Source organism: Homo sapiens, chromosome 7, assembly GCF_000001405.40.
Source record: "Homo sapiens chromosome 7, GRCh38.p14 Primary Assembly".
In the NCBI taxonomy this organism is placed as follows: domain Eukaryota; kingdom Metazoa; phylum Chordata; class Mammalia; order Primates; family Hominidae; genus Homo; species Homo sapiens.
In genome coordinates, this window is record NC_000007.14 from 84,972,563 (window position 1) to 84,985,312 (window position 12,750).

General features: G+C 36.8%; 1 pseudogene; it reads left to right on the forward strand.

Moving 5' to 3' along the window:
• HNRNPA1P8 (heterogeneous nuclear ribonucleoprotein A1 pseudogene 8) lies at nucleotides 10,933–12,277 on the forward strand (annotated as a pseudogene).

Below are 12,750 nucleotides of genomic sequence, written 5' to 3' on the forward strand. Positions count from 1 at the left end.
GTTCTGTTATTTACCAGCTTTGTGATAGCTGTAATAGTGTTAAGCCACACATTTACTCTCTGCCAGTCTTAGCTGCTGCTTCTGAAAAATGGGGCTAATAATTCCTATGTCTAAGGGTGGTTTTGAATACTAAATGAGATTATATCTGCAAAGTAGCTGGCACATAGTATGCATTCAATAATTGGTGGATATTAATAATTTCTTTAATTTTTATTATGTTCCCAGGTTTGAAAGTCATAACACATTGTTTTCCAAGAAGCTATATTTGAGATTGTTGCCAGTAAGTATCCTGGAACAGTCCATGTGAGACTATTTCACTCAAAAATTAACTAAAATGAAAATAACATTCCAATGGAAAATATAGTGGTCTAAGTAGTTACTTAGGAATTCTGGACTATGGGTACCCTCACTGGAAAGATCCCTCTTTGTGCAGTAGCATCTGTGGTGAGTTCTGTGTCCACAAGGGAGCAGATGCCCCCGTGAACAAGTAGCTCAGTAGCGGTCCTCTCTCCTGTGGATCTGCACAAACTGCATTGCTATTTCTCTCCCTTTAAAACCTCAGTTACAGAGTCTTGAGTTGAATATAGCCCACAGTTCATCACACATTATTATCATTGGTTTGTGCAAATCCACTCTCTTAGCCTAGCCCGCTATGTTTGTTGGGCTGGGGCAAGAGTATAAATGGAGACCTCAAGCTTCAGGTTCATAACTTACTTCTCTCTGCTCCCTGAACCACAACCAGCCTCAAGCAAATGCATGTGAATACCTCAGGCTACAACTCTGTATTCCATCCTCCATCACTGACTTCCTTTTTGGGCCTGGGAGTGCCACACTGAGGAAGACTCTCCTTGATCAAACTTTAATCAAGCTTTCTAATCTCTCCTCTCAACTAGGCTTTTACCTTGGGCTTTAGTGTCTATCCTTGTTGGGCCTGCATTGCCGAGTTTTAGCAATAATCCTATCTAGTCAATGTACCTAGGATCACTCACCCTTGATATTTTATCCCCCTAGATATCTAATCAAATTCCTCATTCCCAGCATCCCCCAGGTAATATCTGATCACCTGGCCTGCCTTCAGCAGGAATACTGTCAAGGCAGTTTAACCAGAACCTGCCACTTACCCTGATATTTCCTTAGTAATTTTCCATCCACTGGCCTCCCATGTAGCTCCTTGGCTACAAAACTCCACTTGTCCATGTCATATTCAGAATTGAGCCCAGCTCTATACTAAGGTCTCTTTTCTCCTATTGCAATAATTCCTTAATAAAATCTATTTTTACTGCTTTAACCATTTTCCAGGTCTGGGTTTTCTTTAATAACATCGTGGATTACTAGACTCAAGAAACAGAAATGCACAAGCCCTAGAAGTGTGCTTGAGTTTCAGGTACTGAGAAGAGGGGCAGAGCATGCTGCCCAATTCCTGGGGTCTTATGGCAGGTATTCCACTTTTAATTTCCTCTCTCTCCTTAAGCTATCATTTATTTATGTTAAATTTGTATATTTTGAAGTTTAACGAATATATTTGTGAACATGAGTGTTTCGGCTTTATAGGCATACATTGTTAATGTATAAAATGATAATAGTTTGGATATTTCAATCATTTCATTATTAAGTAAAAATATACTGTTCTTTTCCACTTACTTTTCATAGATTAGTTCTTTGTGAACCAATAAACCACAGTGTAAATATTCTATAATAATTTTGATTGGAATTACACTCAATTTATCTTCTGATTTGGAAAACTTAAAATCTTTTATTATAATATTAATAATAGCTTGTTCCATCCTAGCATATGATATCTCTACATCAATTTATCATCTGATTTGGAAAAACAAAATCTTTTATTATAATATTAATATTAGCTTGTTCCATCCTAGCACAGGATATCTCTACATTTGTTCAGATCATATTCCAGTTAAAGTTCTAATGTTTACTCCATAGAAACTGTATGCATTCTTGGCTAAATCCAAGATGTTTTATAATTTTTGTTATTTTTGCGTTTTAGTCCATTCTCACATTGCTATAAAGATGCTACCGGAGACTGGGTAATTTATAAAGGAGAGAGGTTTAATTGGCTCACAGTTCCACATGGCTGGGAGGCCTCAGGAAATTTACAATAATTGTGGAAGGTGAAGAGGAAGCAAGGCACATCTTACATGGTGACAGGAGAGAGAGAGAGGGAGAGGGGGGAAATGCCAAATACTTTTAAAACCATCAGCTCTCATGATAACTCCCTCACTATCATGAGAACAGCATGAGGGAAACCACCCCCCATGATCCAGTCACCTCCCACCAGGTCCCTTCCTTGACATGTGGGGATTACAATTGAGATGAGATTTGGGTGGGGACACTGAGCCAAACCATATTATGGTGTGATTAGAATTTATTTTTAATTTGGTATATAATTTTATTTGCTAATTCTGTTTTAAATAAATGCTATAGATTTTTAGGCTAATTTTGTATTTATATTAATAGATTTTGTTGACTAATTTTCCCCATTAGAAGATAAACATATAATCTATCAATAATGATGCATTTATCACTTCTTTTCCAATCCTTTTAATTATTGCCTACTTATCTTTCTTTTAATATTGAACAGGTCTCTCAGTACTATGTTAAACAGTAACGTTGATAATGGGCATCCCTGTTTTGTTCCTGAATCTAAAAGGAATGTAACAAAATTTTGTCCATATATTTGCTTTATATATTTGATTTATAACCTTTGCCGCTTTACAGGTTTTTTTTCTACTTAGAATTGGCTTAAAAATTAAGTAAAAAAATTATCGTTAATCTCTATCAAAAGTTTTTTTTTCCAGTTAGGATAATAGCTAGGTTTAATTCTATGTAGTCACTGGTAAATTGCATTTATCAATTCTTTTTTAAAAAATTTTATTGGGATATAATTCATGTACTATACAATTTACTTGTTTAAATTGTACAGTTCAATGGCTTTTAATATGTTCGCAGAGTTATAGATTCTTTTGTTATTTAACTATACTAGCTTTCTGGGATAAATCCTTACTTAATCAAGTTATTATCTGTCATTTTTAATGTATATTTTATTCAACTATTAAGTATTTATCAATTGATATGTAATGCAAAACTCAAAATTGTCATAAATTAAACTCACTTCTGCATCTGTCTTCCATATTGTGAAACAACATTCTTAGAATCCCAGAAGCCCTTATTCTCTTCCTGTTATTTCCCTTTCCCTGAGAGAAACCACTATGTTGACTAGAGATTACTTTTGCCTATTATTTCTTTATATAAATGGAATCATAAAGTGTTTATTTTTGTTCCTCACTTTTTTTTCAACCCTTATATTTTGAGATGGATCCATTTGTATGCAGTTAAAGTTTACTAATTCTCATTCCTGCCTGAAATTCCATTTGCATAAATGTACTATAATTTAATTACTCATTCAGCAGTAGAAAGAAATTTGGGATGTTTCCAACTTTTGACGATTAATAGTGCTGCTGTGAACATACTTGTCAGTGTATTTTTAAAAATGCAAGTATGCCTTTCTGTAGGGGCTGTGCTAGGAGTAGTATTGATGAGTTATAAGATATATCATGCTCAGCCTTTGCAGATTTTGCCAAACAGTTTTACAATATTTGCTTCTGTTGGCTATTTTTTTTTTTTTTGAGACAGACTCTTGCTCTGTTGCCCAGGCTAGAGTGCAGTGGCATGATCTTGGCTCACTGCAACCTCCACCTCTCAGGTTCAAGTGATTCTCACTTATAATTGGGAGGCAAATGATGAGAACACATGGACACATAGAGGGGAACAACAAACACTAGGGCATTTCAGAGGGTGGAGGGTGGGAGGAGGGAGAGGATCAGAAAAAAATAACTAATGGGTATTGGGCTTAATACCTGATGATGAAATAGTCTGTATGACAAACCCCCATGACACAAATTTAGCTATGTAACAAAACTGTACTTGTACCCCTGAACTTAAAATAAAAGTTAAAAAAATTAAAAAAAGAAATAGAAGCTATGTCTAGTGATGAGAGTGAAGGAGGAGTAGAGAAGAGCAGAGATTTAAAAAAATATTAATGGAATTCAGATCTCTCCTTCTAGTTATTTCTGGGGTCCAGCCACATCCTTGTCTTGTATCTTATTACGCATATAACAAATTCCCTTTTTAGCTTAAACTAAAAAATAAAAAATCTTCTTATAGGCTAATACTTGATCTATTTTTGTGAGTCTTTTATATTTGCTTCAAAATGCATATTATCTGTCTTATGAATGTGTTGTTACAGTATTATATATAGTTACTGTATTCTTCACTTATTCTTTTGCTACTTGTACTATCAGCTCCCAGGAATAATGTATTAAAATAGCCAACTAGGAGAAATAGGAACACTTTTACACCATTGGTGGGAGTGTAAATTAGTTCAACTATTGTGGAAGACAGTGTGGTGATTCCTCAAGGATCTAGAATCAGGAATACCATTGGACCCAGCAATCTCAGTACTGGGTATATACCCAAAGGATTATAAATCATTCTACCATAAAGACACATGCATACATATGTTTATTGCAGCACTAATTACAATAGCAAAGACTTGGAACCAACCCAAATGCCCATCAATGTTAGACTGGATAAAGAAAATGTAGCACATATACATCATGGAATACTGTGCAGCCATGAAAAATAATGAGTTCATGTCCTTTGCAGGGACATGGATGAAGCTGGAAAACACCATTCTCAGTAAACTAACACAGGAACAGAAAACCAAACACCACATGTTCTCACTCATAAATGGGAGTTGAACAATAAGAACACATGGACACAGGGAGGAGAACATCACACACCGGAGCCTGTTGGGAGGTGAGGTGCGAGGGGAGGGAGAGAATTAGGACAAATACCTAATGCACGTGGGGCTTAAAGCGTAGGTGATGGGTTGATGGGTGCAGCAAACCACCAGCGCACATGTATACCTATGTAACAAACCTGCATGTTCTGCACCTGTTTTGCAGAACTTAAAATAAATTTTAAAAATAGCCAGTTAAAGTTATTGATTCATTTAGTTTTTCCTAAATGAATCATCCAGTTATTGCTTAGATTTTGTGATATTCAATACATATGCATTTAAAGTGGATGTACTTTGTCTTTCTATTATGACTCTCCTCTGATTTTAATACCATTTTTTGCCCCTTTACATTTGCAAACTTATTACGCAAACCTTCAAAAATACATAGAAATAGGGAGAAAATAAGTTCCCTGCGTCCATCAGCTAGCTTCAGCAACTATTATTTCAAAAGTATATATTCTACTCTTTCTTTTTTTTTATTCTAAAAATTATTTCAACCTTTAATGTTTGGCTTAACAGATAAAAATGTCTTTAAATATAATCACTAAGCAGCTTATATTTCTTCACCTAGAACATATTTTGTCAGATATTAACTATTTTTTGCTCATTTTTGCTCTGCATTTTTTCCTTTAAATAATACTTTATTATTTAAAGCCATTTTAGGTTTGCAGCAAAATTTAGTAGGAAGTACGAAGATTTTCTACTATCCCCACACATGCATAGCCTTCTCCCACTATCAAGGTTCTCTACCACCATGGTACATTTATTACAATCAATAAGCCTACATTGACACATCATTATTACCCAAAGTCCATAGTTTACATTAGGGTTTACTCTTGGTGTTGTCTATTCTATGGGTTGGGACAAATGTATAATGGCATGGAGCCACTCTTACAGTATCATAAGAATAATTTCACTGGCCTAAAAATCCTCTGTGCTCTGCTTCAATTTCATTTAGTTCTGTTCTGATCTTAGTTATTTGCTTTCTTTTGCTGGGTTTGGGTTTGGCTTGTTCTTGTTGCTCTACTTCCTTGAGGTTTGACCTTAGATAGTCTGTGCTGTTTCAGACTTTTTAATGTAGGCGTTTAGGGCTATGAAATTTCCTCTTAGCACCACCTTTGCTGTGTCCCAGAGGTTTTGATAGGTTGTGTCACTATTGTCGTTCAGTTTGATGAATTTTTTAAATTTCCATCTTGACTTCATTTTTGGTCCAATGATCATTCAGGAGCAGGTTATTTAATTTCCGTGTATTTGTGTAGTTTTGAAGGTTCCTTTTGGAGTTGATTTTCAGTTTTTTTCCACTGTGGTCTGAGTGCTTGATATATTTTCAATTTTCTTATATTTATTGAGGCTCATTTTGTGGCCTATCATATGGTCCTATCTTGGAGAAAGTTCCATGCTTTGTTGAATAGAATGTGTATTCTGTGGTTGCTAGATGGAATGTTCTGTATATATTTGTTAAGCCCATTTGTTCCCAGGTATAGTTTAAATTGATTGTTTCTTTGTTGACTTTCTGTCTTGATGACCTGTCTAGTGCTATAAGTGAAGTATTGAAGTCCCCCACTATTGTTGTGTTGCTGTCTATCTCATTTCTTAGGTCTATTAGTAATTGTTATATAAATTTGGGAGCTCCAGTGTTAGGTGCATATATGTTTAGAATTGTGATACTTTCCTGTTGGACAAGGCCGTTTATCATTATATAATGTCCCTCTTTGTCTTTTTTAACTGCCATTGCTTTAAAGTTTGTTTTGTCTGATATAAGAATAGCTACTCCTGCTCACTTTTGGTGTCCATTTGCCTGAAAAGTCTTTTTCCACCCCTTTACCTTAAGTTTGTGCAAGTCCTTATGTTTTAGGTGAGTGTCTTGAAGGCAGCAGATGGTTGGTGAATTCTTATCTATTCTGCTATTCTGTATGTTTTAAGTGTCGCATTTAGGCCATTTACATTCAATGTCAGTATTGAGATGTGAAGTACCATTTAATTTATTGTGCTATTCATTGCCTGTGTACCTTGGTTTTTTGTTTTTTAAATTGTTTTTTTTTCTAGGTCCTGGGAAATTTATGCTTTAAAAAGCTTCTGTTTTGATGTGTTTCCAGGATTTGTTTCAAGATGTAGAGCTCCTTTTAGCAGTTCTTGTAGTAGTGGCTTGGTAGTGGCAAATTCTCTGAGCATTTGTTTGTCTGAAAAATACTGTATACTTCATATATGAAGCTTAGTTTCTCTAGATACAAAATTCTTGGCTAATTGTTTTGTTTGAGGATGCTAAAGATAGGGCTCCAATCCTTTCTAGCTTGTAGGGCTTCAACTGAGAAATCAGTTGTTTATCTAACAGGTTTTTTTTTTGTTTGTTTGTTTGTTTGTTTTTTTATAGGTTACCTGGTGCTTTTGTCTCACAGCTCTTAAGATTCTTTCCTTCATCTTAACTTTAGATAACCTGATGACAATGTGCCTAGATAATGATCTTTTTGCAATTAATTTCCCAGGTGTTCTTTGTGTTTCTTGTATTTGGATGTCTAGGTCTCCAGCAAGGCCAGGGAAGTTTTCCTTGATTATTTTCTCAAATATGTTTTCCTAACTTTTAGATTTCTCTTCTTCCTCAGGAACATCAATTATTCTTCGGTTTGATCGTTTAACATAATCCAAGACTTCTTGGAGGCTTCTTTCAATTTTCTTATTCTTTTTTCTTTGTCTTTGTTGGATTGGGTTAATTCAAAGACCTTGTCTTTGAGCTCTGAATTTCTTTCTTGTACTTATTCTATTGCTGAGACTTTCCAGAGAATTTTGCATTTCTATAAGTGTGTCCATTGTTTCCTGAAGTTTTTATTGTTTATTATTTATACTGTCTATTTCCTTGAATATTTCTCCCTTCACTTATTGTATCATTTTTTTGGATTTCGTTACATTGAGCTTTGCCTTTTTCTGGTGCCTCCTTGATTAGCTTAAAAACTAACCTCCTGAATTCTTTTTTAGGTAAATCAGGGATTTTTTTCTTGGTTTGGGTCCATTCCTGGTGAACTAGTGTGATTTTTTGGAGGTGTTAAAGAACCTTATTATAGTACCAGAGTTGGTTTCTGGCTCCTTCTCACTTGGGTAGGCTCTGTCAGAGGAGAGGTCTAGAGCTGAAGGCTGTTGTTCACATTCTTTCGTCCCACAGGGTGTCCCCTTGATGTAGTATTCTCCCCCTTTTCCTATGGATGTGGCTTCCTGAGAACTGAGCTGCAGAAATTCTCTCTTCTGGATCTAGCCACCCAGCAAGTCTACCAGGCTCTGTGCTGATACTGGGGATTGTCTGCATAGAGTTCTGTGATGTGATCTGTCTGTGGGTCTCTCTACCATGGATACCAGCAACTGTTCTGGTGGAGGTGGCAGGGGGGTGAAATGGACTCCATGAGGGTTCTTAACTTTGGTGGTTTAATGCACTATTTTTGTGCTGATTGTCCCCCTGCCAGGAGCTGCAGCTTTCTCAAAAGCATCAGCTGTGGTAGGATGGAGAGGAACCAGTGGTGGGCAGAGCCCTAGAACTCCCAAGAGTATATGCCCTTTGTTTCCAGTTACCAGGGTGGGTAGGGAAGGACCATCAGGTGGGAGCAGGGCTAGGCATATCTGAGCTCAGATTCTCCTTGGGCAGGTCTTGCTGCAGCTGCTGTGGGATATGGGGGTGAAGTTCCCAGGTCAATGGAGTTATGTTCCTAGGAGGATTATGACTGTTTCTACTGTGTCATGCTGGTTGTCAGGAAAGTGGGGGAAAGCCAGCAGTCACAGGCCTCACCCAGCTCCCATGCAATCTGAAGGTCCGGTCTCACTCCCACCATGCCCCGCCCCCAACAGCACCCAGTCTGTTTCCAGTCAGTGGGCGAGCTGTGCTGAGAACTTGCCCCAGGCTACCCACATCCCAGCTGCAAAACCAAATATGGCTTTCCTTCTTCCCCTGCCTGTGGAGTCTGTACACTGAATTCACTCCCTCCCCTGAGTTCTGGCCAGGAGGCTTCTTGATCAATTCAAACTGTTACAAAGCTCAGCTGGAGATTTCCTTCTCCCCGTGGCCTTTTTGCAGTGCCTCTGGCTGCCATCCCAAAGGACCCCTGTGAGGTCAGACAAAAACAGCTTACTAGGGAACCCAGGAAGCTCCCAGGGCTTTTTCTGCTGCTTCCTCTACCTCTGTATTTCACTCGGTTCTCTAAATTGACTCAGCTCCAAGTAAGGTCAAAATCTTCTCTCATAATCTAGGCCCTCAGTTTCCTCAGTGGAGGGGTGTGTTCGAGGATGGATGATCCCCCTTTCCCACTTCCACAGTTTGGGCACTCATGGTATTTGGGTTGTCTCCCAGGTCCTGCAGGAACAATCCACTTCCTTCAGGGGCTCTGTGAGTCCTCTCAGACTTGCTGATTTATATCTGCATTCATTCTGGAGCAAAAATTCATGATACAAGCCTCCACACACTGCTCTGCCCATCCCAGTTGGAGCTTCAATCTAGTCCTGCCTCCTGTCTGCCATGATCCCTGTGGACTCTTTGCTCAGTATTTTTAATATATATTTGTCTTCATTATTTCTGTATCTTTTTGCTTTATATTTATTTCTTATTCATAACTTGTTAGAATTTTTTAAGCCCATCTGAATTCTTTGTCTTTTAATTCATAAATTTAATGTTTTTTTTTTCCATTTGTTCTACATATCATATTAGGTCACATTTCCATTCCGTTGTTTCATATTTGATACATATGATCCACACTCATTCCTTTCTTTTGTTCTCCTGCTTTTTCCTGGATAAAAATAGTTCTCTTCCATTAGTTTAAATGACATTATTATTATTTTATTTCTATAGTGGTTGTCCTTAAGACATACATGTATTCACTGTTATGATTTCTTACACTTATTAGTATCTATGTTTCCTCACTTGTAAAATAAGAATTGAACACTTTTATTTTCCTTTGGTTCCTATCACCCTTCACACCATCCTGTTGACATTGTCTTTAGCATTTCTTTAGGGTTAAATCAGAACTTTATCTAATTTGCCATCTTGGCAAGAGATGCCACAAAATACTTCTCTATGTTATTCACTCCCTTGGTTAGAGTAAATGGAAAATAGAGAAGAATTGTCTAGGCAGTGTGATTTTCCTTCTTAGATTGCATAGATATACATCTATATCATATAAATCTCAGTTAACTCTCTACATACAGAAATATATTAATTTTTATATTTTTGTTAAATTATTTGTATACTTATATAAAATGATGCTGTATGAATATTAAATAACCAAAAGAGATGATTTTTGTTTGTTATTTGTTGTTTGTTGTTTTTATGTAATCACAAAGCAAAGAGCTCCAAGTTTTATTAATGACTAGAAATGTTTGTTTCTGAGGAGCTGGTCCAAAAGAGCTGTTTTCTGTTTATCAAGTTACATGTATCATTTTGGTTTCAAATTCAAATCAAAATTCTCATATATCAGTGTTTTATTTTTTAAAATACATAATGCATTTTATTGTTACTCTTTAAGTCAATGACAGAAATTAACTTTATTATTAAGTTGGTGTAAAAGTAATTGAGGTTGTTGCCATTACTTTTAATGGCAAAACCACAATTACATTTGCACCAACTTAATATTTTGCTGTTAACAGATCAAATATGTAAATATATCCAATATGCCTAATTCAACTACATTTTTGAGACAATAGATACTGGTAGAAAATGGATGAGAAACTGTTATAATTTTGGTTTGGTCTCATTTAGCACTGAGATTTAAAGTTCTAATAGAATTTTTTCAAGAAGACTGTATCTAAGACTTTGTGCTCTTTAATGTAAATAAAACAGAAAAATACTATGAAAAAAATAATTTAAAATATTTTTAACCAAAAGCTGTCAGAGAAATCTGTCACTATTTTACTGTGCCATGAATTTACATCTTTAAAGCCATCTTCAAAGACCTCTTCAAAGTCCCTGTGCTTAAAGAAACCATCTATTACAAATTCTATGGGCCCCCTGTCTATCAGATTGAAACTGTGTATTTTATGGCACTGAGTCCACCTAAGTCAAAGCAATTTGACAAAACAAAACAAAACAACAACAACAAAAAAACACATCAGTTTGTAATTGTTTTCTTTAAAACAGATGAACACCTTTCTGCCCGTGGACGCCGCCGAAGAAGCATCGTTAAAGTCTCTCTTCTCCCTGCCGTCATGTCTAAGTCAGAGTCTCCTAAAGAGCCCAAACAGCTGAGGAAGCTCTTCATTGGAGGGTTGAGCTTTGAAACAACCAATGAGAGTCTGAGGAGCCATTTTGAGCAATGGGGAACGCTCATGGACTGTGTGGTAATGAGAGATCCAAACACCAAGTGCTCCAGGGGCTTTGGGTTTGTCACATATGCCACTGTGGAGGAGGTGGATGCAGCTATGAATGCAAGGCCACACAAGGTGGATGGAAGAGTTGTGGAATCAAAGAGAGCTGTTTCAAGAGAAGATTCTCAAAGACCAGGTGCCCACTTAACTGTGAAAAAGATATTTGTTGGTGGCATTAAAGAAGACACCAAAGAACATCACCTAAGAGATTATTTTGAACAGTATGGAAAAATTGAAGTGATTGAAATCATGACTGACCGAGGCAGTGGCAAGAAAAGGGGCTTTGCCTTTGTAACCTTTGACGACCATGACTCTGTGGATAAGATTGTCATTCAGAAATACCATACTGTGAATGGCCACATCTGTGAAGTTAGGAAAGCCCTGTCAAAGCAAGAGATGGCGAGTACTTCATCCAGCCAAAGAGGTCAAAGTGGTTCTGGAAACTTTAGTGGTGGTCGTGGAGGTGGTTTCAGTGGGAATGACAACTTTGGTCATGGAGGAAACTTCAGTGGTCGTGGTGGCTTTGGTGGCAGCCGTGGTGCTGGTGGATATGGTGGCAGTGGGGATGGCTATAATGGATTTGGTAATGATGGAAGCAATTTTGGAGGTGGTGGAAGCTACAATGATTTTGGCAATTACAACAATCAGTCTTCAAATTTTAGACCCATGAAGGGAGGAAATTTTGGAGGCAGAAGCTCTGGCCCCTATGGCGGTGGAGGCAATACTTTGCAAAACCAAGGTGGCTATGGCAGTTCCAGCAGCAGCAGTAGCTATGGCAGTGGCAGAAGATTTTAATTAGGAAACAAAGCTTAGCAGGAGAGGAGAGCCAGAGAAGTGACAGGGAAGCTACAGGTTACAAGAGATTTGTGAACTCAGCCAAGCACAGTGGTGGCAGGGCCTAGCTGCTACAAAGAAGACGTGTTTTAGACACATACTCATGTGTATGGGCAAAAAACTCGAGGACTGTATTTGTGACTAGCTGTATAACAGGTTATTTTAATTTCTATTCTGCGGAAAGTGTAAAGCATTCCAACAAAGGGTTTTAATGTAGTTTTTTTTTTGCACCCATGCTGTTGATTATTAAATGTAATAGTCTGATTGTGACACTGAATAAATGTCTTTTTTAAAAAAAATAAAATAAAACCGATGAACATTCAAAATGAAAATAGAGCTTAATCAATTTACCAACTGTATTTAAAAATAGGTACGGGGGTATGAATTTTAGAAAATGCTTTCATGTGGTGGAATTTTTTCTTACTAGTTTTTATAATAACAAATCATAATTTAAGGAAAACTTGTTGTTTTGTAAAAGTTTTAACTTTTTAGTTGATACAGATTGCAGTAGATATTAAGAATAAAGATTTAGTCCTTAATAAATTTAGTTTCTGATAAATGGAAATTCATCAACTTTAAGCTCTTAAATACCTTAGAGACATCTCATTGGGATAGAGAGAAATTAATGTTGACTTACATCAAGATATACACTAATTTTAGCACCAAGTTGACCATCCCTTTCTGTTTATGTTCACTGCATTCCCTACTACATTGCTTCTGTCATCTCTAGGCCAGAAACCACAAAGTAACCCCAACTTTCATTT